The sequence below is a fragment of the Homo sapiens genome, chromosome 22 (assembly GCF_000001405.40).
Source record: "Homo sapiens chromosome 22, GRCh38.p14 Primary Assembly".
Taxonomy (NCBI): Eukaryota; Metazoa; Chordata; class Mammalia; order Primates; family Hominidae; genus Homo; species Homo sapiens.
In genome coordinates this window covers 38424257-38449764 of record NC_000022.11, presented here as the reverse complement: position 1 = coordinate 38449764, position 25508 = coordinate 38424257, and the positions used below count along the sequence as shown (strand labels likewise).

Genomic DNA, 25508 nt, shown 5'->3' with positions numbered 1-25508 from the left:
CTGAGGCTCAGCAAGGGGAAGTGGCTGGCTGGAAACAGGCTGGATTTGAATGGATGGGTTTTGCCTGATTCTAAGACCACTGTTCTCTGTTGGGACACACAGGGTGGGAAACCGGTGGGGAGGAGTGCTGGCGTGTGGCCCCTGCCCCTCCCTCTGCACCCGTTGCCCCACCTGCTCGCAGCCCCCTTTCAGCCTGCGCGTGCATGCTCAGGCACAGACACAGGCACACACGCATGCGCATGCGTGAGGGCTGCTCAGATGGCTGGTGCCGTTGCTTGGTGGCTGGGGTGAGAGCAGTGTTCTCAGGGTATTGCTGCAGGAGGGAAGCTGAGTGCCAGGCTCAGCGCTGGGCTTCATATTCATGATTTCACTTAATCCTCCACCACCCTGGGAGAACCATCACCCCCACTTCTCAGATGAGAATACTGAGGCTCAGAGAGAAGCAAGGATTGGTTCCAGGCTCCTGGGTGGAAACAGCCACAGATGCTTTGTCCTACTGTGCACCCAGTGCCAGCCCCTCCAGGACCCTCATTGGCCACCTGAAGGGAGGTGGGTACATGTCTGCCAGCCTAGGCCTCCCCTTTCCTTCCATGCAACAGCTCAGCCACTCCTCCCTGTGGCTGCTGGCCAGTCCCTGACCAGCCCTGGTGCCAACAGCTGGGACGTCTGGCCTTGGCAGGCAGGGGAGGGTGAGGTGCCCCAGAGAGACATTGGCAGGTCAAGAGGTCCTTAGGGGCTACCAGGAAAGGGGGTCCTTGGTGTTCCCGACCCCAGCAGGAGCTGTGGAGGGAGAAGTCAGCGTTGTAATGGTGACCTGTCAGCTGGGAGCTTTGGTCTAGGCCTGGGGGGCCCCCAGCAGGGCAGAGGGGAGCTGGGGCATGGGAGGTGCAGTTGGGCGGAGGAGCTCCCTGGGACTGGGATGGAGGAGAAGCCCCCACCAAGCCTGGCCCAGCAGCTCCTGTCTGCGGCTGCATTGGCCTTCTCTCCATTTCCTCTCCTGGGAGATGGAGAAACCGAGTCCGGAGACCACCAGGGTTTGCCCAGGGTCACTCAGCAATGGTGGCAGAGCCTCTCAACCCGGAGCTGCTCCTGACTCCTCTGTGTCCTGATGGCTCCCAGGGCTGCCGGCCCCTCCTCTCTCACTGACACTCCCCAGAGCTGTGGGGTCTGTGGGAGGCGAGCAGGGTCTGGGTCTCTTTAAGCTCCTTCTCCCCAGAAAATCCCCAGATCGGAGCGAGGGGAAGGGCAGCACTCCCTGGTCACAGCAGTAGGAAGGGTGGCCTGCGTCAGGGGCCTGGGATCGAATCCCAGCTCAGCCCCTCACTGGCTCCGCATGACCTTGACTAGGCCACTGTCCATCTGGGGGCCTCTCTTTGCCCCTCTGTGTATCGGGGGCCACCCATGGGGATGGTGGGGCGTGCTCAGCCTTTTCCTGTTTTGCCTGTCCTGGGAGAAGCTCACACACCAGCGACCCGGGCTGCAGGGATGGGAGGGTTCCTTTTTTTTTTTTTTTTTTTTAAGACGGAGTTTCGCTCTTGTCACCCAGGCTGGAATGCAATGGCACAATCTCAGCTCAGTGCAACCTCTGCCTCCCGGGTTCAAGCGATTCTCCTGCCTCAGCCTTCCAAGTAGCTGGGACTACAGGCATGCGCCACCATGCCCGGCTACTTTTTTCTTTTCTTTTCTTTTCTTTTTTTTTTTTTTTGAGAGTCTCACTGTGTCTCTCAGGCTGGAGTGCAGTGGTGCAATCTCGGCTCACTGCAACCTCCCCCTCCCAGATTCAAGTGATTCTTCCGCCTCAGCCTCCCGAGTAGCTGGGACTACAGGCGTGTGCCACCACGTCTGGCTAATTTTTGTATTTTTAGTAGAGACGAAGTTTCACCATGTTGGTCAGGCTGGTCTTGAACTCCTGACCTTGTGATCCGCCTGCCTCAGCCTCCCAAAGTGCTGGGATTACAGGGGTGAGCCACTGCACCCGGACGGGAGGGTTCTTTAGCTGGGCCACAGGAGAGGGTGCATGTGCTGTGGGGAGCTGACCCCATTTTACTGATGGGGAGATTCAGGCCTAGGGGAGGGGTGTGCCCATCTTCAAGTTGGTGGCAGAGTTGGCCCCTGGGACACCTCAGTGAAGCTTCCCCCAACCCCCTGCAGCTCCTCTCCCAGCCCCCACCCTAGACTCCCCCAGGAGCCTCCCCTCTCCTCATAGGCCTGAGAAGCCCAGGACCCTCTGCCCTGTGAGTGTGAAGGTACCACTCAGCCTGGGAGACAAATGGGATGGGGTCCGCAATTAGGGGCTCCTTGGGGCCATACAGGGGAGGTGGTGGGCACAGGCTGGAGAGGCCCTGGCTGGGGGTGAAATGGAGCAGGCAGAGGGGCTTTGGGCATCCTTCAAACCTCGTGCCCATGGATACCCTTCTGCAGTTATCCTGAGAAATGGGCCTCAAGTCCCTCCTCACTGTTCCTCACGGGGAGCTCCCCATCTCCGGGGAAGCCCACTCGTGTCTGGAAGGTTCTGCTAATTGATCCCTGACTCCCTCTTTCCTTCGCCCTGCCCTCTGGGGCAGAGAAACCCAGCCTGCTCTCAGCAAGACAGGAGGAGTGGCCCACCTCCCCCTCCCCTACCCCAAGGCTCCTCCAGCCTCAGTTGTCCCAGGCGAGGCCCGTGACTGGGAAACAGAAGATCTGGGTTCATGTCCAGCTCCACCCCTTAGCAGCTGCGGAATCTGGGGCAGGTTTTTCACCTCTCTGAGCCTTTACCCCCTGCCCCGTAAGGGTGGGCGTTTGCCTCTGTTTCTTTTTTTTTTTTTTTTGAGATGGAGTCTCGCTCTGTTGCCCAAGCTGGAGAGCAGTGGCGCGATCTCAGCTTACTGCAACCTCCGCCTCCCAGTTCAAGCAATTCTCTGGCCTCAGCCTCCCAAGTAGCTAGGACTACAGGTGCGCACCACCATGCTCGGTTAATTTTTGTATTTTTAGTAGAGATGGGGTTTCACTATGTTGGCCAGGCTGGTCTCGAACTCCTGACCCTCATGTGATCCATCCACCTCAGCCTCCCAAAGTGGTGGGATTATAGGTATGAGCCACCGTGCCTGGCCCTTTGCATCTGTTTCTGAGGGTGACTGGGAAGATCCTGTGAGCCTGTGAGTGAATGAATGTATCATAGCTCGTTGATATGAACTACTTTGTGACCCAACCACTCAAGGGCACTGCTGGGCCTGATTTCCAGACCCCCATCACCAGCCACTGCCTTGGGGTACCACTTCTCTGGACAGCTGAGCCTCCCCCGGCCCTCCCTCACCCAGGCCCCCAGAACTGCTTTGGTGGGCAAGGCTGGCTGAGTGCCAGCCCCGCCATGAGGCTTCAGATCCTGAGCCCACCTGACCTTGGAAAGGGCCTCTCTCTGGCTGGGCTCCAAGGCTGCCCCCAACAGACACCCGGCAGTGGCTGGGCAGCAGAGAGAGAGAACTGGGTGGGGCAGAGAGAGGACCACTTGCCAGAGCTGTCCCGGCTCCCTGAGACAACAGGCTAGAGGACAGAGGAGAATGGCCAGCCAGCCACGGGCGGGGCCCCACTTAGCAGCTACATCAGCAGCCCGGCAGAGCTTACTCCTCACAGTCAAGTGGGCTGCCTGAGAAGTGGGTGAGCGCCCTGTCCTGGGAGATGTGTAAGCAACTGCTGAATGGCATCTGTTATCAGGGCAGGAGGGGGCTCTATTAAAAGACCCGGGGAAAAAATTGGAACCAGACCCCAAAGAGTCCCTGTTATTTGGGCTGCAGAGTGGCGGTCCTGTGAGCTGGGGGGTCTAACAGACTTTTCCCAGTATTCCCCCATAACATCCAACAATTCCCCACATGGTTGTGTGTCACAAAGCCCGGAGTCCAAGCACCGCCCGTCACAGCTTCAAGACACACGCCGGATCCCATTTCACCGCTCCTAACCCCCACTCAGGCCAGTGCTTTAAAATTGCACACAGGTCCTGCCCCGTTAGTGGGTTGGGAAATTGACTTAGTGAGTTGCACTACTTGTTTTCCGAAAATGAAATTAAAAAGAAAATTTCAAAATACTATGCATGTAGTGAGGGTAAATATTATTTTGTGACGCTCTTACTTCAGCTTTAAATATATAGCCGGGTGCAGTGGCTCACGCCTGTAATCCCAGCACGTTGGGAGGCCGAGGCGGGAGGATGGCAAGAACCCAGGAGGTTGCAATTGAGCTGTGATCGCATCACTGCACTCCAGCCTGGGCATTGGAGCAAGACTCTGTCTCTAAAAAATAAATATAAAGTAAGTTAAAATAACAAACAGGATGTTTGCTTTTACTACGGATTTTGGTCAAAAAACTTGAAAGCTACTGTCCTGTGTAGAAATCCAGGAGGCGCCCTGATAGAGGTTCTGATGCTCAGGTTCCGATTTCCCTGGATGTTTGGTTCCTAAAGACATAGGTGCCACAACTTCCAGGATGCTGCTGTCCTGCCCTCAGAAGTAGCCGCCTGTCCCTTGCTCAGTGGACCACCCAGGTCCAGGCACCCATGCTCCTCCAGAGCCACCACCTCTCCCCAGGGCCTAGATCCCAGGCCGGGCCAAATTCCCTGCTTTCCGCTCAGCCCAGGCCCAGCCCTGCTCTGTCCTTGTGCCCTCCTGCTTGCCCTCATCTTCCTAGGACCTTCTCTTTATGCCCTTTCACACACACACACGCACACACACGCATGCACGCACACATGCGTGCACGGAGCTCAGCAAAGCCGGTTTGTGACTTACCTGCTTCCCTTCAGCATACAGTAGGTGCTCAATAAATGTTCACTCAATTATTTACAGACCGCCCTCCAAGGCAAGGCACTGCGCTGTGTTGAGACACATCTGGCACCTGGCAGGAAGGCAGATGCTGTTCCAGCTCAGGGGACATTTAGGGTGATGAATGAATGGATGGATGGATGGGGGTCGGCTGGAGTTGGAGATTCTCTGGCCTGAGGAGCCAGTGGGAAGGTGGTCAGCAGTAAAGAGGGGCATGCAGCCCGTGGCCCCCCCCATGGCAGGCGTTCTGTCAGTGACAGTCCCTTGGGGCTGTGGCCCAGCATTGAGTCATGGGCAGGGGCTGACTGTTCCTCCTGCTGTCTCTGGTCCTTCTGAGGCCTGTCTCCCATGCCCTCTCCCACTAGGTCCTGTACACATGTCCCTGCCACCCATCCCTGGGTGAGGCCAGGACATCCTCCCCCGAGCCCCTGACACCTGGGGGACACCTGGGAAGAGAAGCCCATGCTCCGTGGAGGGTGAGGCAGAGGCATGAGCCCTCTGACATCCTGTCCTCTGTCCCCTCTGCTCATGGCCATTGTGCTCATGTACAGTGACACAGAGGGTCTCCTGGTCACTGCTCAGAGGCCACCTCCGCTGGGAAGTTCTCCCTGACTACCGTGTCAAAAATAGCTTCTCCTTGGTCACAATGTGTCACATGACCCAGTTAGACCCTTTCCGGGAATTTTGACGGGCTGGGTTATCTTGTTTGTCAGTCGTTAGATATTTATGAAGCAGCTACTCTATGCCAGGCTCTGGGAGTCGGGGTGAAGTAGGGAGGCAAGGTTCCTGCCTGTAATGATGTTGCAGATGAGACTGGTTTGACTGCTAAGGGCTGCCAGGAAGATCTGAGAGCTGGATGGGAGGGAGGGCCTCGGGGCCTCTTGGAACAGGCAGCCTTTGAATCAAGACCTGAATGGTAGGAAGGCACAAGCGGTGGAGTCTTGGAGAAGAGAATTTCAACCAGAAAGAACAGCCAGTGCAAAGGCCCAGAGACAGGAATAAACTTGGTGCGTTAAAGGGACGGGAAGGAAGGTCTCTTCCCGTGGTTGGAGAGTGGAGGGGGTGCAGTCAGAGAGGGCAGGACCTCTCTGAGGCGGGGCGTTCATCCCGAGTGCCCTGGGGAGACGAGAGCTCTGAGCAGGGAGTGATGTGGAGATGGACTGCGGGAGGTGGGTGGAGGCTGTGGGAGGAGGTGGTGGGCAGAGACTGTGGGCTGCAATAGTGATGTGGCTCTTTGGGGTGGATGACTAGGTGAGGGGACGTGTCCGGGGCCCCGAGGTTCACCCGCTTTGGGCAAGCTCCCAAGCCCACTGTGGGATGATGATGACAGCACCTGCCTTGCAGGTGTGGACCAGTCAGTGCATGGCCCTCAGTGAACACTAAGTGCATGTTAGTTATTAACCCATTGTTATTGCGGTTGGGCTTAGGGAGGGCTGGAGGATGATGCCTAGGTGTCAGGCCTGAGCGACCTCCTGGGAGGAGTCACAGACTGAGATGGGGAAGGCAGGAGAGGGGAGGACGGGGGCATGGCTTGGGCTTGGCAGTGCCGGGTTCGCGATGCCTCTTCACTGTCCAGCAGACACAGGGAGCAGGAGCCAAGTGGGCTTGTAGCTGCCTGGGAGGGAGGCGCAGGCTAGGTGGTATTTTAAGCCACAGGACTGGATGAGATCACAGGACTGGGGAGAAGAGAAGGGAGGTGGGATGGCGGAGCTGGGCACTGCACGGTGTGGGTCATGGAGAGGCCAGAGGCAGGAGAGCAAGGGGCGACCTGGAGAGGGACCCTCAGGCCTGGAGGACTCAAGGAGGAAAACGAGGGCCAGTCCAGAGCCTCCATCAGAGCTGCTGAGAGGGAAGGGGGCACAGAGGAGCTCTGGAGGGGGCTGAGGGGAGACTAGGAGGTGAGGAAGAGTGGAGAGTAAGTCATGCCCTTCAAGAAGGGCTGCAGGCCGGGCACGGTGGCTCATGCCAACACTGTGAGAGGCTGAGACAGGAGGATCACTTGAGCCCAGGAGTTTAAGATCAGCCTGGGTAACATAGGGAGGCCCTGTCTCTACAAAAAATTAAAAAATAAGCCAGGGATGGCAGCACACACCTCAAGTCCCAGCTATTCGAGAGGCTGGGGTGGGAGGATCGCTTGAGCCTGGGAAGTCAAGGCTACAGTGAGCTGTGATAGTGCCACTGCACTCCAGCCTGGGTGACAGCGAGACCCTGCCTCAAAAAATAAAAAAAGAAAGAAAGGCTTCTGCACTTTACAGTTTACAAACCCCTGCCCACACTGTTCGCCTTGGCAGCATGCCTGTTCACTGGGTGTTATTCCTTCCCATTTTACAGATGTGACTCAGAGAGGTTAAGAAATTTTCCCAAAGCCACGCAGCCCATAGGTGAAGTGTTCTCAGACTTTCGGGGTGACAGTCCTTTTTTTTTTTTTTTTTTGATGGAGTCTTGCTCTGTCACCCAGGCTGGAGTGCAGTGGTGCAATCTCAGCTCACTGCAAGCTCCGTCTACCGGGTTCACACCATTCTCCTTCCTCAGCCTCCCGAGTAGCTGGGACTACAGGTGCCCGCCACCACGCCTGGCTAATTTTTTGAATTTTAATAGAGATGGGGTTTCACCATGTTAGCCAGGATGGTCTCGATCTCCTGACCTCGTGATCCGCCCGCCTCGGCCTCCCAAAGTGCTGGGATTACAGGCGTGAGCCACCGCGCCCGGCCACACAACCTTATGAATGCCTTCTCTGGAAAATATGCATGTGTACACATTAATTTTAAAACTTTTCATGTGCATTTTCCCACAGGTAATACATTCATACGGTTCTAAAATTTAAAAAGACACAAACGGGAATACAGTGACAGTTCTTCCTCCCACCCTGTCCCCAGCCACCTGCTTTCCCTCCCCGGAGCAGCCAATGTCACCAGCTTCCTGGGTCTCCATCCACAGACAAGCAGAGACAAGCAAATATGTGTATCTATAAATTTCTTCTCTCTCCTTTTTTACACAAATGGTAGCTACTATACTCACCGCTCATCACTGTTGCCTTCTTTTGCTTAAAAATACATCTTGAAGACCTACATTGCTCCTCACAGAGCTCTCTCCTGGCTTTTTCTGTCTGTGTGCTGTGCCATTCGTGGATGGGCATTTGGGCCGCTTCCAGGCGGTGCTGCTGAAGGCAAGGCTGCTCATTCCCCACGTGTGAGTCTCAGGCTGGAGTCCCAGGAGGGCCCAGGAGGCGTCACAGGCGATACCACCCAGTGGCCTCCACTGGATAAGTGAGGGAGTGGGGCTCGAACTCAGCCCTGACTGTTCTCACTCCTCCCTGCTCCCACGCCACTTCTTTAGGGGGCACCTGCTGGGGCCAGCCGAGCATCCCAGAGAAATCCTGTGTGTGAGTGAGAGGGGCACATTAGCCCCCATCCCCCTAGGTTCTGGGAGACACCCCCCACCAGCCGGCAGCCCCAACTCCTGGAGTCTTGTTTGCTGACAGCTAAGGATGAGGCAATGGGATGGGGCAGCAGCAAACACCACCTCACCCCCACCCCCAGCCCCACCCATGCTGGAGTGCGGGGATGAGGGTCAGATGATGATCAGACATGGGCTGTTACCATGTCACCTCTGCTGCAACTTCCCTGACCCCCGCCCAGCAGAACTCCTGGCTCTTCCCCAGCACCTCCCTTTCTGCCCAGCCCATGAGGAGATTTCCCCCTTTCTGGCTGGGGAGGGAGGGAAGCCAAGTGGAGGAGGGACTTGTGGCTACCATGGTCAGTCCTCAGGTGCTCCAGGCTGGGCAGGGCCTACCGGGCAACTCTGCTGAGAGCTCCCTCTCCTGTCTGTGAGCTGGCCTCCCTCCCCTACTCCTCCTGCTCTCTGGCCGGTCCTCCTCATCTGCTCTGCAGCTTCTCTCCCATCTGTGGGGCTGCTGGGGCCGGGTCTAAGACCCCCTCTCCTTTTCCATGCCCTTGGCCCAGCCAGTCTCGCCCACCCTCACAACTCAACCTGTCACCAGCGTTCACCATCTCATGCACCCAGCTCTGCCCACTCTCCCTCTGGAGGCTCGGGATCTGACGTCAGGTAGACATCTGCATTTGGATGTTCAAAGCCACTGCACACTAGAAACCGTCGCTCCCGAAACCTGGCCCCGTTTCAGTCTTCCACCACTACAGGCCACTCTCGACAACCCCCTTCCACCCTCAAACCCTGCGGACTCTTCACCCAGAATGCATGTGTCCCAAATCCATCTCCTTTTGAGCTCCATGGCCACCATCCTGGTAGCTCCAAGCTACCATCATGGTCTTCTCCCCAGCCGAATATACCTCATCACAGCGACTGGCACTGCACTCTGGACAGTGCAGACTTCAAAGGCTAGCTGAGGCAAGGGCCAGGGTGCCACTGGGATTATACTGGGAATGTTTATCTTTTATTTTTATTTATTATTATCTTTTGAGACAGCGTCTCATTCTGTTGTCCAGGCTGGAGTGCAGTGGCAAGATCTTGGCTCACTGCAACCTCTGCCTCCTGGGTTCAAGCGATTCTCCTGCCTTAGCCTCCCGAGTAGTTGGGATTACAGGCATGCACCACCATGCCTGGCTAATTTTTGCATTTTCAATAGAGACGGTGTTTTACCATGTTGACCAGGCTAGTCTCAAACTCCTGACCTCAGGTGATTTGCCCACGTCAGCCTCTCAAAGTGCTGGGATTACAGGCGTGAGCCACCATGCCCAGCCTACTTTTTATGTTTTAGGGAAAGAGTTTCACTATGTTGCCGAGGCTGATCTGAAACTCCTGGGCTCAGGCAATCCACCCGCCTCAGCCTCCCAAAGTGTTGGAATTACAGGCATGAGCCAATACACCTGGCTAGGAATGTTGTATTTCTTTTTTTTTTTTTTGAGACGAAGTCTCGCTCTGTCACCCAGGCTGGAGTGCAGTGTGCAGTGGCGCGATCTCAGCTCACTGCAAGCTCCGTCTCCCAGGTTCACGCCATTCTCCTGCCTCAGCCTCCCGAGTAGCTGGGACTGCAGGTGCCCGCCACCATGCCCGGCTAATTTTTTGTACTTTTTAGTAGAGACGGGGTTTCACCGTGTTAGCCAAGATGGTCTCAATCTCCTGACCTCGTGATCTGCCTGCCTTGGCCTCCCAAAGTGCTGGGATTACAGGCGTGAGCCAATACACCTGGCTAGGAATGTTGTATTTCTTTTTTTTTTTTTTTTTTGAGATGGAGTCTCGCTCTGTCGCCCAGGCTGGAGTGCAGTGGCGCAATCTCGGCTCACTGCAAGCTCCGTCTCCTGGGTTCATGCCATTCTCCTGCCTCAGCCTCCCGAGTAGCTGGGACTACAGGTGTCCACCACCACACCCGGCTAATTTTTGTATTTTTAGTAGAGACGGGGTTTCACCGTGTTCGCCAGGATGGACTCAATCTCCTGACCTCGTGATCTGCCTGCCTTGGCCTCCCAAAGTGCCGGGATTACAGGCGTGAACCACCATGCCCGGCCGGAATGTTGTATTTCTTAAGCCTGGTGGTAGATGCACAAGGCTTTATTTTATTTTATTTATTTGAGACGGAGTCTCACTCTGTTGCCCAGGCTAGAGTGCAATGGTGTGACCTTGGCTGACTGTACCCTCCGCCTCCCGGGTTTAAGTGATTCTCTTGCCTCAGCCTCCTGAGGAGCTGAGATTACAGATGCCCACCACCATGCCCGGCTAGTTTTTGTATTTTTAGTAGAGATAGAGTTTCACCATGTTGGCCAGGCTGGTCTTGATCTCCTGACCTCGTGATCCATCCGCCTTGGCCTCCCAAAGTGCTGGGATTGCACCTCACAGGTCCAAGCCATCCTCCCACCTCAGCCTCCTGAGTAGCTGGGACTATAGGCATGCACCACCACACTCAGCTAACTTAAATTTTTTGTAGAGATGGGGTTTTACCATGTTGCCCAGCATGGTCTTGGATTCACGGCCTCACGTGATCCTTCTGCCTCTGCCTCCCAACGTGCTGGGACTATGGGTGTGAGCCACCATGTCTGGCCTAAGGGCTTTATTGTATTAGTCCTTATTCCTATTTGTCTTAAATATTTCACATGGAAATTAAAACCAGACCAGGCAAAGCCTGACAGCCCGCCAGCCCTGAGGGGGACATCCGCAGCCCTTGCCATCTGCCGCCTCTGTGGCCTCATCCTGGTCCACTCACTCCCAGGCTCACTTCACAGCCACAACCTGGCCTTCCTGCAGCTTCTCAACACCAGACTCAGACTTTTGGAGTATTCTTTCTTTCTTTCTTTCTTTCTTTTTTTCTTTTTTTTTTTCAGAAGGACTCTTGCTCTGTTGCCAGGCTGGAGTGCAGTGGCGCGATCTCAGCTCATTGCAACCTCCACCTCCCGGATTCAAGCGATTCTCATGCCTCAGCCTCCCGGGTAGCTGGGAGTACAGGCGCCTGCCACCACGCCCGGCTAACTTTTTGTATTTTTAGTAGAGACAGGGTTTCACCGTGTTAGCCAGGATGGTCTCTATCTCCTGACTTCATGATCCACCCACCTCCGCCTCCCAAAGTGCTAGAATTACAGGCGTGAGCCATCGCACCAGGCCCTTTTTCTTTCTTTTTTTGAGACAGAGTCTTGCTCTGTCACCCAGGCTGGAGTGCAGTGGCACGACCTCAACCTCTGCCTCCCAGGTTCAAGCAATTCTCCTGCCTCAGCCTCCCAAGTAGCTGGGATTACAGCCACCACACCTGGCTTTTTTTTTTTTTTTTTTTTTGAGACAGAGTATCGCTCTGTCGCCCAGGCTGGAATGCAATGGCATGATCTCGGCTCACTGCAACCTCCCCCCTCCCAGGTTCAAGCAATTCTCCTGCCTCAGCCTCCCTAGTAGCTGGGACTACAGGCGCCTGCCACCACACCTGGCTAATTTTTGTATTTTTAGTAGAGACAGGGTTTCACCAAGTTGGCTGGGCTGGTCTCAAACTCCTGACCTCAGGTGATCCACCCACCTCGACCTCCCAAAGTGCTGGGAATACAGGCGTGAGCCACCATGCCTGGCCTAATTTTTGTAGTTTTAGTAGAGACAGGGTTTCACCATGTTGGCCAGGCTGGTCTGGAACTCCTGACCTCAAGTTATCTGCCCACTTCGGCCTCCCAAAGTGCTAGGATTACAGGCATGAGCCACTGCGCCCGACCTCCTGGAGTATTCTACACCCCACTTCCACAAAGATATACAGTTCTCCGGACAGACTCCCACTTACTACCCAAGTCTTGGCTCTGCCATTTTCTCACAGAGGCCTTTGGAGATGCCCATCAAACCAGAGGCCCGCCCTCTGACTCACCCCATGTTGTACTTTTCCTTCAAACTGCTTAACGCCACACACATCCGGCCGCCTGTGATGGCAAATGCCTACCATCCAGAGTGTGTCTCTCCAGCTCTTGCATAAGCTGGCCGAGTCCAAGGCCTGTGTCTGGCCCACAGCTAGCGTGCAGTCCATAGTAACTGAGTGGAAGCCCCAGCCAGGCAGTGGGGTGTTGAAGCCCCACCTGCCGCCACTGAGGGAGCTGCGGTTGTTCTGGAAAAGAGAAGCTTCAGGGATCCACTGGCCTTCACAGCCCTGTGGGGAAGATGGGCACAGGTATTTGTGGAGGGTGGGAAGCTCTCGAGGGAGGGCAGAGGACTGGCGTCAGCAATTCAGCAAAGGGCACACCTGTGGGTTGAAACAGGTGGCCTCTGGGTCCTCCAGCCCCCAGCGCCTGTGATTTGGCCCTCACCAAAGGCCCCTCTGGACATTTTGGGGAGCTTGCTTGTCAGCCTGCTCCCCCGCCCCACATTCGCTGGCCAAGTGGTTGGGAGGGCCCGGTGGGGTGCAGAGTAGGAGGAATGAGCCGGTTCACCCCTTGCTGCTCCAAGCCCCTGTGGAGCCCAAAGCTTGGTCTCCAGCGTTTGGCTGGACCTGAAATCAGGAACCTGGGTCCTGGCTCCAACTTGCCCTGTGATCCAGTTTCTCCATCCCCATAGGACTGACTTCACAGAACCTGGCACGTAGTAGGACTGGATGTGTACCAGGTGGAAGCAAGCGTGTGACAGTATTTCTTCGAGGCAGGACAGTAGCATGCCTTGTTAGCGTGCTTTGATGCCCATTGCCCAGGCCCACATCCTGGCTTTACCACTTACAAACTGTGTGACCTTGGGCAAGTTGCTGAACCTCTCTGTGCCTTGGTTTTCTTCTAAAACAGGGGTAATGATAATTTCCTCTGAGATCATTGTGAGAATGATAGGAATCGATCAGGGTAAAGTACTGAGTAAATGCGTGCTCAATGCTCAGATGCTCAGCCTGAATTTTTGCGATGTCAGAGGGCTGCCTGGTGAGGGAGGGGCTAGGTGTACCACAGGATTTCGTGGTCCAGAAGAAGGTGGGGAGGGGGACAGCTTTCTTGAGCCCCCACCATGTGGCATGCGCTTTTGGGACAATCCACATCAGGCCCTGCAGGTAGGCACTGCGATGCTCCTTTCACCATTGGAGATACCGAGGCTCAGAGAATCCAGTGACCTGCTAGAGCCAAGTGGGACTCGGCTTGGTTCCAGCCCAGCTCTGTGTGGAACAGCACCGAGGCTGCTCTTCTTGCCCACCAGCTCCCTAGTGCAGTGAATGAAGACAAACTGGGCAGGGCCCTGTGGATGGGGCCCAGGCAGGCTCTGGGATGCTGCATCTGAAATTGAGGGGAGGAAATCAAGAGGGAGCAATGTTCAGCCTTGAGTAAAATGCACCTTATCGATCACTTACTCTGGGCTGGGCACGTGGTGTGCATGATCCCATTTGTCCTCATTACAGTCCTAGGAAGTCTGCTCTATTATTAGCTTCTCCTAAAGATGGGGCATGCAGGGACTAGAGAGGTTAAGTTCCTCGCATAAGGTCACATGGGCACAAAGTTGTTTAGAGGCTCCAGAGCTGAAGCTGCTGCACCAGGCGGGGGGTTCCTGAGACTCATGAAGAGGAGGGAGTCAGGCCTCCCAGGGACAGGGGACTGCAGGGCCTGCAGAGGGCAGTGGCAGGTGGGGACCCTGCCACAGTTTCCCCTGTGGCTCAGTCTGTCTTTGGCTCCCCTTACTCTTTGAGGGGTACAGCTCAAAGAGCCGTGGGCCTGGGGTCTTGAGTTCTCTTCCTCCCTGCAAAGTTCCACTTGTTGGAGTGGAAAGCCCCTCCAATCAAACCAGACCTGAGGGCCTCAGCTGGAGTGGGGACAGACTCTGTGCTCCACAAGGGCTGGGAAATGGGACAGTGGTGTTAATTCTGTCTATTTCTTTTTTTTTTTTTTTCCCGAGACAGAGTCTCGCTCTGTTGCCCAGACTGGAGTGCAGTGGCACGATCTTGGCTCACTGCAGCCCCTGCCTCCTGGGTTCAAGCGATTCTCCTTCCTCGGCCTCCCAGGTAGCTAGGATTACAGGCACTTGCCACCACGCCTGGCTAATTTTTGTATTTTCAGTAGAGACAGGGTTTCACCATGTTGGCCAGGCTGGTCTCGAACTCCTGACATCAGGTGATCCACCTGCCTCGGCCTCCCAAAGTGCTAAGATTACAGGTGTGAGCCACCGTGCCCGGCAAATTCTGTCTATTTCTTCCAGGAAAATCCTCTACCCTTCAGAACCCATCCTGGGTGCGCTGAGCTATGCCCTGGGCTGCGTCCCCTGACCTCCACTGCCCTGTGCTGGCTCCCTCTGGTAGGACATTTGCTGGAGAGTCAGCCTCCCCATCTAGGCCCAGGAGGGCTCAGGGATGGCTGGGGCTAAGGAGACTCAGGAGCGCCCCCCATCTGTCACCTGACTCCAAGCTCTGTCTGGGTGCCTCGTTTTGTACATTTTCCCACCTCTCCTGCCAGGGAGCCATGATGGTCTCCCCATCTTGCAGACAGAGGGAAGGAACTTCTGACCAGAGCATGTTAGTGGTGGAGTCAGGAGTGGAAGGGGTTCCCCAGCTCCCAGTCCAGCATTCTTGGTCATCAGCTTCTGCATCTTTGTCATCACCATTATCAACATCAGTTTTTGCACTTTACCTGCAATGTAATAACGCATGGTGGTTGTCATGTTCATTCAGCAGCGGCCTGGTGAGGAAGGTACCAGTATCGTCATCTCCAGTTTGCAGATGAGAAAACTGAGGTTCAAAGAGGATATGCTGGGAGGTGACAGAGCTGAGACTGAGAGCCAGGTCTTGCCACCCAAAACATATGGGTTTAACCAGCACATTTTCTCATATTGAACAGAGGCCATGTGCTGCAGATAGACAGTGAGGCCTGAGGGCTCAGAGTAGCAGGGTCAGAGAGCCTCAGGGGCTCAGGGTAGGTCTGGAGGGATGGGGAGAGCCTGGGGGTCCCAGGTTGAGCAGGGTGATGTGGCAGGAGAAGGGGTCCCGAAGCCAGAGGCTGGGGACCAGGGTGAGCCAAGGACCTGGAGCTAGTCAGACTCAAGTTAGATTTCCAGCTCAAGCTCAGCATCACCCCTCAACCCCCCGGCATCTCTGTAGCCTGCAATTCTTCAGCTGGGGAGGAGAAATAACAACCCTTCTTGTTACTGTGGTAGGTGCTTAATACATACTTGTTAAATACACAAAGGATACAGTGATGCTTCAATGAGAGAGAGGAGGCAGCGCCTGGCATGGAGTTGGCAGAAATTCCCTGAGAGGGGCTGGAGAGAGAGGATGACTGGTTCCTCGGATCCCCAAGGCTGAGCTCTGTGACCTCAGGCCAGTCACATCACCTCCCTGGTTGTCTCACCCAATAATAGTCACCTCGAAGTCTGGTGGTGGGATGACATGAGATGCATGACAACCTGGCAGGCTGGCACTGGCCACTGCTCTCTAGGCGTGAGCTTCCTGCTCCTGTCTAAAGGAGCAGAGTTTCAGGCAGGGCTGGAGCTGCTGCCTGGCTCTGGCAGGGCCTGGCGGAGGTGCCCCTGCAGTGGCCATGGTGTCTCTGGTCAGTGGCACGGATCTCGGGGAGGAGATTTGCCCTCGAAGCCTTCCAGGTAGCTGGGACCTGCCGAGGCTGCTGCAAGCTGATCAGCTTTTCTTTTGCAAAGGGAGTTGTGGGCAAGGACAGATAAGTTAGTGTCCTAAAATTGTCGGGAAAACCTAAAAGTTGACAGGGTTGGGGTGGTCTTCCTGCCTCCTCTGGACCCCCAGGAGGCAGAGTCTCCAGCCCCTCCCTAATTCCTCAGGATGGGGCAGGATGGCTGGTGTCAGTGGTGAGGCCTGAGCTTCCTTCCACAGCTGTTGACTTACTGTGCCACCTCGGACACGGTGCCATGCCCTGTTCTTGGCCTCGGTTTCCCCAGCTGGCTAATGAAGTCTGGACTAAAGACTTGCAGATTTTGGATGTTTACAGCACAGTAAAATTAAGAGAAAGCCGGATGCAGTGGCTCGTGCCTGTGATCCCAGCATTTTGGGAGACCGAGGCAGGAGGATAGCTTGAGACCAGGAGTTTGAGACCAGCCTAGGAAACATAGTAAGACCCCATCTCTATAAAAAATAGTAATAATCAATTTTTGTGTTTATTTTTATTTATTTATTTTTTGAGACGGAGTTTCACTCTTGTTGCCCAGGCTGGAGTGCAATGACACGATCTCGGCTCACTGCAACCTCCGCCTCCCAGGTTCAAGTGATTCTCCTGCCTCAGCCTCCCGAGTAGCTGGGGTTACAGGCACACACCACCACACCTGGCTAGTTTTGTATTTTTAGTAGAAACAGTTTTCTCCATGTTGGTCAGGCTGGTCTCAAACTCCTGACCTCAGGTCATCCGCCCGCCTTGGCCTCCCAAAGTGCTGGGATTACAGGCGTGAGCCACCGCACCCGGCCAATAATAAATTTTTAAAAATTAAAAGAAAAGTCTGGTAACTGGTGTAGCATTGTCACTTCTTCATTTTGCCAAGAAAAGACATTAACATTTAAAAAGCAGTCAGCATCTCCTATGTCCATCACTTTCTAAAAAAATGTTTGCCACTGAAAGAGTCCCAGGATATAAAGGACAGCAGTACCATTGATCTTTTTTTTGAGATGGAGTCTTGCTCTGTTGCCCAGGCTGGAGTGCAGTGGTGTGATCTCGGCTGACTGCAACCTCTGCCTGCTGGGTTCAAGCGATTCTCATGCCTCAGCCTCCCGAGAAGCTGGGATTACAGGCGTGCACCATCATGCCCGGCTAATTTTTTTGTATTTTTTGTAGAGATGGGGTTTTGCCATGTTGCTCAGGCTGGTCTTGAACTCCTGGCCTCAAGAGATCCGCCTGCCTCTGCCTCCCAAAGTTCTGGGGTTACAGGCGTGAGCCACCGCGCCCGGCCCATTGATCCTTCTTAGGCTCATTTTGCCATGGGCTAGTGGCCTGCACTGGGGGTTTTGGAAACCTCAGGCCCCATTTCACCAATCCCTCTGGTTCTATGTCAAGCTCTGTGACCTTCAAAAAAGTTGGGGAGGATGAGTAGTCCCTTAATTGGAGGAGGACCTGATGCCAGGGAGAGGAAGAACTTGTTCAAGGTCACATACCAGGGCTGTGACAGAGGGCCTCTCCACCTCCCAGGGCCTCCATCGCAGAAAACAAGCCTCAAACTGCATTCTTCTAGTGCACATTCCATGCAAGCAAATTAGGCCCTGCATCCCTGCATCCACAAAAGTGGTTTAATCATAGGGATAAAGCAGACACCTAAACAACCAGGGGTCTTTTTTATTTTATTTTATTTTATTTTATTTATTTATTTATTTATTTATTTATTTTGAGATGGAGTCTCTCTGTGTCACCCAGTCTAGAGTGCGGTCACTCAATCTTGGCTCACTGCAACCTCTGCCTCCCAGGTTCAAGCAATCCTTCTGCCTCAGCCTCCCTAGTAGCTGGGATTACAGGCGCCCGCCACCATGCCCAGCTAATTTTTTTGAATTTTTAGTAGAGACAGGCTTTCACCAAGTTGGCCAGGCTGGTCTTGAACTCCTGACCTTGTGATCCGCCCGCTTCAGCCTCCAAAAGTGTTGGGATTACAGGCGTGAGTCACCTAGCCCAGCAGGGCCCTTTAAAAAAAAAAAAACATCTCTAGTCAGAGGAGGATGGTACTGAATTGTCAAGGCCTTTTGACCCTCTCCTGCCATCGTCAGCCTTCCCTGGGAAGCCCCATGTGACAAGGAAGAGAAAATCTGGCCATCTCCTGGTGGTTGTCACATGAGAACACAATGCCAAGCTCATACCCTTCACTTTTTGGCCAGGCCTTGCACGGGTCAGCCTCGAATTAGCAGCTGAACCTCTCTCTCCTGCTAAAATGGTCTGTGGTGGCAGCAGCGTGCTCTTATTTGAGCAAGTCACTGCAGACCAAGGGTTTTCAGGGGGATGGGATGTCACAGAGGCTGCTCCATGGGGAAGGGTGGAGGTCTGAGAAGTGCCAGGGAAGCAGCTTTCCTGCTAAGCTCCAGGATGTGCTGGGGGCACTGGGAACCCAAGACAGGGCCCAGCACATAGCAAGGGCTCAGGACACCTGCTGTGGGCTGTCGGGGAGGCACCGGGGTGAGGGGTAAACCATGTCCCCATCGGGCTGCACTGTGGAGGCCAGTGGGCTGGTGGGCCTGGGGAGTGAGTGTTGCCGCTGGGGCTGAGGATTGTGGAAGCTCAGAATTGACCCTGGGCACTCGATAATGGGGAGGAGTGGGCACTGCTGGCGAGGGGATGCCCAATCTCTGTAGCCATCAGGGGATCGGCTCCCTTACCCCCAAGGCCCCTCCAGAGGTGGGGAAGTCCAGGAAGAGATCTCGTCTGCAGCACCAGGTGAACTCGCCATGTCAGGAGGCAATCCCACCGGGCAGAGAACCAGGGATCCCCTGGAACCCTGGGCTTGTGTTTGGCCTTGGGCAGGGCCCCCCACCTTCTCTGGAGCTCAGTGACCTCACCCGTTGAAGGCCTGGGCCGCCACACCCTGTCCCCTCTGCCTCTATCCTGCACACCTGTGGATGGTGGTCCAGTTTGGACTGGCTGGTTTCTTCTCTTCCCTTGCCCCAAAACCCACTCCAGCCCCCTGCAGGGAGGAAGTGGATGAGGAGCTCTGGGGTGGGGGTGAGGCCTTGTTCAGGGCTGGCCCACCTGGCTCCACTCTGGGACTCTTAGCAAGTCCTTCCTATCTCTGGATGTCCTTGGTCTCCGATATAAAATGAGGGTCCTGAACTCGGTGACCCTATGCTCCTCCTGTCCTGACAGTCCGCGGTGCCCCTGGAGCCATTTCAGGCAGTGGGACAGAACAGGGGGAATACATTTAGCAAAGAAAGGCCTCCCTGAAAACTCTATTTACAGAGCAGAAGGTGTGCCTGGCCCCAGAACCCCAAGCCTTTCTCCTGGAGCCCTGGCTGCTGGGATGCTGCGGGAGGGGGCAAAGAGGGTCTGGGCCTCCCAGCTCTGAAGGGCCAGCATTACGTTAGAGGCCGTGCCTGCATGACCTGTCGGGTCTCCAGCATGATATCTCATTGGCCCAATTTTCTCATTTTCTTTTTTTTTCGAGACGAAGTCTCACTTTGTTGCCCAGGCTGGAGTGCAGTGGCACGATCTCGGCTCACTGCAACCTCTGCCTCCCAGGTTCAAGCGATCCTCCTGCCTCAGCCCCCCAGTAGCTGGGATTACAGGCACACGCCACCATGCCCGGCCTAATTTTTGTATTTTCAGTAGAGACGGGGTTTCTTCATGTTGGTCAGGCTGGTCTCAAACTCCCAACCTCAGGTGATCCACCCGCCTCGGCCTCCCAAAGTGCTGGGATTACAGGCGTGAGCCACCGCACCCAGTCAGCCCCATTTTCAAGATGAGGAAACTGAGGTTCAGAGTAGTCAACAGCTCGCCCAAGTCACACAGTGGATCTAGGACTTCAACCCAGGACTGTAGGAGCCAGGGAGCTCTTTGAGAACCAGGGGAATAGGGAGAAGAACTCGGAGTCAGGGTGGGTGACCGCGGGGGAGGAGGTGGGGGCAGGGCTCACTCTCCCTGGGCCCGGAGAGGGAGTTTCTCTTGGGAAGAGGCAGGCTCTGAGGCTGTTGATCTCTAAATTATAGCGTTGGCGCGTACCGGTTGCTGCGGCAACCGAGTTGTCCTGAACCGGGGAAGTGTATAAACATTGCCACAGATGCACAATTAGATCAGGAAGAAGAATAGAACAGAAAATAGAAACTTCCAGCCTTATGTAATTCTGGGCCAAAATGTTATTGGGAACCCAGGCCCAGTCCTGGCCCTGCCAGCTGCTGGGGCCTGGGGCAGCAGCATGTCTTCCCTGGGGACGCAATGGCAGAGAGGGGTGGAGAGAAGGTCTGTCCTCTACGGGCCCGAGGCGCATCCCGCCACCCAGTGGGGTGAGGGGCCTCTTCTGCTGCAACAGCTGGGGATGCTTGACAGGCAAATCCTGCCTGTCACCAGCTCCTGGGAAGTGTGGGAAGGAAGGCAGGAGGGTGATGGCTTTACCCCAGCACCTGCTGTCCCCGTAGGTCCCATGAGGTAGGGAGTTTTGGTGCCCATGTTACATGAAGACATGGAGGCTCTGAGAGGTGAACTGAATTGCCCGAGGTGTGTCCTCCCCTCCCACTCCCTGTCTCCCCGCCATCAACTCATTCATGTTGGTGCCACGCAAGTTTGTATCCACTGCCAGCTTTGTGGCTGGCAGGTGGCTTTCCATCTCTGAGCCACCTGGGACATGGGAATAGCGATGTCTACAGAGGAGTCAGAGCTGGGGGCTCCCCCTTCCTCCACCCTGACTGTCACATTGGATTCTCCCCTCACCACTGCTCCTAACAAGTGTGGGCACTGGGCAGGAATTTGGGCTCAAGGACTCAAAGCAACACTGGGAGAGAAGAGTCTAAGAAAGGAGCTCAGACCCAGGTGGGGCTGCGGGTCCCAGTAGAACTTTTTCTTTCTTTTTTTTTTTTTTTTTTTTTTTGACATGGGGTCTTGCTCTGTGACCCAGGTTGGAGTTCAGTGGCATGATCACAGCTCACTGCAGCCTTGACCCCCTGGGCTCAATAGATCCTCCTGCCTTAGCCTCCTGAGTAGCTGGTACCAGAGGCATGCACCACCATGCCTGGCTAATTTTCTTATTTTTTGTAGAGATGGGGTCTCACTCTGTTGCCCAGGCTGGTCTCAAACTCCTGGCACAAACAATCTTTGCATCTCGGCCTCCTAAAATGCTGAGATCACAGGCATGAGCCCCTGTGCCCAGCCAGAAATTTCTCAGTGATAGAACTCTCCTGTGTCTTCTCTGTCCAGTGTGGTGGCCGTTGACCACATGTGGCTCCTGATCACTTGAAATGTGGCTCATGCAAGGAAGGAGCTGCAGTTAATATTTTATTTCGTTTTAATTAAATGTAAAGAGCCACACGTGGCCAGTGGCTAGTGCACAGGAGGATGTCCAGCCCCCGAGAAGCCCAAAAGTGCAGAGATGGAATCCAGGGAGGGAAGCGGGCTTAGCGCCTCCGTGGCTCCCTATGCTCAGGGCAAGCAGGACAGAGGGACAGGGAGGAACCAAGATGGGCATCAGGAAGCTTCCAGAACAGTGAGCATAGGAGGGCCGGAGGGGCAGTGTTGAGGGGCAGGGACTAGGACCTGGATCCTTGTGGCTTTAGCTTCCTGGTCTATGGACCCCAGTCTCTAAGCTGGGCCGGACTGGGTGGCACTGGCTCAGACCCTGTCATCAGAGCCACCTCTGCTGCCACCCTCCGCCTGCCGGGGCAGAGGAAGTCTTAGGTCCTGGTCCAGGCTCACCTGCTTCTGAGAGTCTTGGGGCTGAGTCTGAGTGGCCCCGAGGGAGCCCCTCGCTCCCCAGCATCTCACCTGTCCGGCTTCTCCTCCGCAGGCCCTGCGTCTTCCCAGGTGACCACGCCGGCTTCAGGACATGCACGGACACAGCCGCAACGGCCAGGCCCACGTGCCCCGGCGGAAGCGCCGCAACCGCTTCGTCAAGAAGAACGGCCAATGCAACGTGTACTTCGCCAACCTGAGCAACAAGTCGCAGCGCTACATGGCGGACATCTTCACCACCTGCGTGGACACGCGCTGGCGCTACATGCTCATGATCTTCTCCGCGGCCTTCCTTGTCTCCTGGCTCTTTTTCGGCCTCCTCTTCTGGTGTATCGCCTTCTTCCACGGTGACCTGGAGGCCAGCCCAGGGGTGCCTGCGGCGGGGGGCCCGGCGGCGGGTGGTGGCGGAGCAGCCCCGGTGGCCCCCAAGCCCTGCATCATGCACGTGAACGGCTTCCTGGGTGCCTTCCTGTTCTCGGTGGAGACGCAGACGACCATCGGCTATGGGTTCCGGTGCGTGACAGAGGAGTGCCCGCTGGCAGTCATCGCTGTGGTGGTCCAGTCCATCGTGGGCTGCGTCATCGACTCCTTCATGATTGGCACCATCATGGCCAAGATGGCGCGGCCCAAGAAGCGGGCGCAGACGTTGCTGTTCAGCCACCACGCGGTCATTTCGGTGCGCGACGGCAAGCTCTGCCTCATGTGGCGCGTGGGCAACCTGCGCAAGAGCCACATTGTGGAGGCCCACGTGCGGGCCCAGCTCATCAAGCCCTACATGACCCAGGAGGGCGAGTACCTGCCCCTGGACCAGCGGGACCTCAACGTGGGCTATGACATCGGCCTGGACCGCATCTTCCTGGTGTCGCCCATCATCATTGTCCACGAGATCGACGAGGACAGCCCGCTTTATGGCATGGGCAAGGAGGAGCTGGAGTCGGAGGACTTTGAGATCGTGGTCATCCTGGAGGGCATGGTGGAGGCCACGGCCATGACCACCCAGGCCCGCAGCTCCTACCTGGCCAGCGAGATCCTGTGGGGCCACCGCTTTGAGCCTGTGGTCTTCGAGGAGAAGAGCCACTACAAGGTGGACTACTCACGTTTTCACAAGACCTACGAGGTGGCCGGCACGCCCTGCTGCTCGGCCCGGGAGCTGCAGGAGAGTAAGATCACCGTGCTGCCCGCCCCACCGCCCCCTCCCAGTGCCTTCTGCTACGAGAACGAGCTGGCCCTTATGAGCCAGGAGGAAGAGGAGATGGAGGAGGAGGCAGCTGCGGCGGCCGCGGTGGCCGCAGGCCTGGGCCTGGAGGCGGGTTCCAAGGAGGAGGCGGGCATCATCCGGATGCTGGAGTTCGGCAGCCACCTGGACCTGGAGCGCATGCAGGCTTCCCTCCCGCTGGACAACATCTCCTACCGCAGGGAGTCTGCCATCTGACCTCCAGGCCCGGCCCTCACCACTGCCCACAAGAGCCTCTGCCGGGGGTGGGATGCCAGGACACCCCCTCCCACACTCAGGACAGAGCCAACCCTGGCTCCGTGGACCTTCTGGAGGAAGGTGGGGGTTTCAAAGACTGGGGGACCCCTTCCTCCTGACTCCAGCACCCAGGCCTGGGAAGAGCTCGGCCCCGATCAGCCTGAGTTCCGCCAGCGCCTACTTCTGGTGGCTCTAGGTCCCCGGATCCACCACCCTTCCCCCACTGACTCTTCAAGGACGTGCCCTCTTTGCTCTCAGAACCTTGGGGAAGGTGGCTGGACTGCTGGGCGGGGGACATCTCGGGGTTTCAGGGTGGGCAGGGGGTTAGTTTGGGGAGGGGGGGGTGCGTTTCTTTTGCATGACTGTGGCCTGTTGCTCATGACTTTCTTTTGTAAATATCTATAAATGGAGACAGATGGAGACACCAAATTCACTTTCTGCCGTTTTTACCTGCTGGACAGGGAGATGCAGTCCCTCTCTGTGCACCCCTCCCCACCCAGCCCATCAAGCCTAGCGCCTTCCCCTGCCCAGCTGGCTGGCCCCTTGAGGCCCTCAACGCCAGCCACCTTGGCCCTTGGATGGTGTTGGGTTTGGGTGCAGAGGAGGGACTCTGAGGGGTGGGATGAGGGACCATCCCTCCCTCCCTGCAGTCCCTCCAGCCCCGGGCCCAGCCCAGATTGACAACAGAGTTTGTAACCATATATATATATATATATATATATTTTTTTTTTATTTTTTATTATTATTTTTTTTTCTTGAGACGGAGTTTTGCTCTTGTTGCCCATGCTGGAGTGCAATGGAGCAATCTCGGCTCACTGCAACCTCCGCTTCCCAGGTTCGAGCGATTCTCCTGCCTCAGCCTCCTGAGTAGCTGAGATTACAGGCATGAGCCACCATACTCAGCTAAGTTTTGTATTTTTAGTAAAGATGGGGTTTCACCATGTTGGCCAGGCTGGTCTCGAACTCCTGACCTCAGGTGATCCACCCACCTTGGCCTCCCAAAGTGCTGGGATTACAAGTGTGAGTCACCGCACCCAGCCGTAACTATATATTTTTAATAAAGTACATGGTCCATTAGGGGTAGGCTGGTTGAAGATGGAGGGGTGAGAAGGAGAGAAAGAGAGTGAGCAAGCACACATGTAATTGTGCCTGTGTGTGTCGTGTGTGTGCCTGTGTGTCATGTGTGTGCCTGTGTGTTATGTGTGTGCCTGTGTATGTGGCCCTTTCTGAGTGACTGACCCTTGGAGGGAACTTTACCACCTGCCATTCTCCTTCCGGCGAGTCAATAGAAGGATCTGGAGTTGGCATCAAAGAACCAAAAGCTTTGATGTCAGAGCTTTGTTACCTAGTAGCTGTGTGACTGTCAGCTCTTGGCCTCAGTTTCATCCTCTGCAGAATGGGATTAACCATCCCTCCCGCCTGCAATGATGGGCAGGACAGCCCTGTGTGGACGTCAGCCAACCCTTCCTAACTCAGGTGGAAGTGGGAAGGGCCCACCCGATCCGCACCTCCCTACATACATGCAGATCCACACACCGCTGGTAGAGCTGGCGGCAGGACACTGATGGGAAGGGCACAGGGGCCAGGAAACCTGGTCACAGACTTAACCAAGACAGGCTTGGTCTCTGCTCTCTGTGGGACCTCGGGTAAGTCCCTTCCCTTCTCTGCCTTCGGTTAGCCTATGCTCTATAACCAGCCAGCACAAAACAGAGACCAATGACGCATCCTCTCTTAGGGTCCTGTGGGTGGGCTGGGGTTCCTAGCTGATTTCTCCTGGGCTTACCCGGCAGCTGTGCTCAGCTGGAACATCAGTGGGCCTGGAAAACCCCCGATGAGCCCATGTACATGTCGGCAGCTGGTATGGCTTTCTGGGGTGGTGGTGGGGTTTGGTTCTCCTCCAATAGGCTGCATCACATTCCTTCATGGCGACTCCGGGCAGCAACCTACGAGGGCAAAGGTAGAAGCTGCAAGGTCTCCGGAGGCCTAGCCCCTTGAACTTGGATAACATCATTTCCACTGCAGTCTATCGGCCAGAGTCCAGGTCACGAGGCCAGCCCAGATTCAAAGGGTGGGAAATTAGTTTCCACCTTTTGGGAAAGAGGCAAAGTCACATTGCCAAGGACATGCCGAGCAGGAGGGAGCTGTGGCCATAGTTGGTCATCTATCCCAGAGCCTTGGAGTTTGAGGGTTCCTCCCACCCGACTTCTACTCTACAGGCTGACTGTGTGCCCCAGGCTGAAAGGAAGCAGAAGGCACCCTTCTGGGTCCCAGGGATCTTCCACACAAAGGTGCCAGCTGCCTCTAGAAACAGGGAACCAGCAGGCAAGCTTACCTGCTGTGCAGCACAGCGAGCTGCCTTGTGAATGACCACGTCTCACCAGCCCCGGCAGCATAGCTGCCGTTTGGGTGGATCACTGTGCACCCCGTATGCTGCGCTGCTGCAGAAGGAAACTTGAGGCCTCTTTCCTGGAGACAGAGCCAAGCTCAGGATCCAAGCCT

General features: G+C 55.7%; 1 protein-coding gene and 2 long non-coding RNA genes across 4 annotated transcripts in view, besides 2 other annotated features; 1 reads left to right on the top strand and 2 right to left on the bottom strand.

The window, feature by feature from the left end:
• KCNJ4 (potassium inwardly rectifying channel subfamily J member 4) overlaps nt 1-23438 on the top strand; it is a 28873-nt gene extending 5435 nt beyond the window's left edge. Inside the window, exons 1-2 of one of the 2 annotated variants that reach the window (NM_004981.2) lie at nt 5737-5794; nt 21594-23438. In NM_004981.2, coding sequence (NP_004972.1) covers nt 21633-22970 — 1338 coding nt within the window. In that variant the 5' untranslated portion in view covers nt 5737-5794; nt 21594-21632 and the 3' untranslated portion in view covers nt 22971-23438. Of the gene's footprint in view, nt 1-5736; nt 5795-21593 lie in introns of those variants that run through there. The other variant, NM_152868.3, reaches the window with a different exon arrangement.
• Nucleotides 6204-6704: an enhancer, noted in NCBI's record as "H3K4me1 hESC enhancer chr22:38839066-38839566 (GRCh37/hg19 assembly coordinates)". NCBI's record gives its function as "activates a minimal SCP1, AML or CMV promoter by ChIP-STARR-seq in naive H9 embryonic stem cells {active_cell/tissue: H9 hESC(naive)}" and the evidence as "EXISTENCE:reporter gene assay evidence [ECO:0000049][PMID:30033119]".
• Nucleotides 13380-15421, bottom strand: LOC105373029 (uncharacterized). The gene is made up of 3 exons (XR_938251.3): nt 15342-15421; nt 14804-14901; nt 13380-13462 (listed from the first exon to the last, which is right to left on the bottom strand). It is a non-coding gene; the product is annotated as an uncharacterized LOC105373029 (long non-coding RNA).
• Nucleotides 15840-16341: an enhancer, noted in NCBI's record as "H3K4me1 hESC enhancer chr22:38829429-38829930 (GRCh37/hg19 assembly coordinates)". NCBI's record gives its function as "activates a minimal SCP1, AML or CMV promoter by ChIP-STARR-seq in primed H9 embryonic stem cells {active_cell/tissue: H9 hESC(primed)}" and the evidence as "EXISTENCE:reporter gene assay evidence [ECO:0000049][PMID:30033119]".
• Nucleotides 17757-25487, bottom strand: LOC101927183 (uncharacterized). The gene is made up of 3 exons (XR_938252.3): nt 25342-25487; nt 24793-24952; nt 17757-17796 (listed from the first exon to the last, which is right to left on the bottom strand). It is a non-coding gene; the product is annotated as an uncharacterized LOC101927183 (long non-coding RNA).
• Nucleotides 25488-25508: the final 21 nt, after the last annotated feature.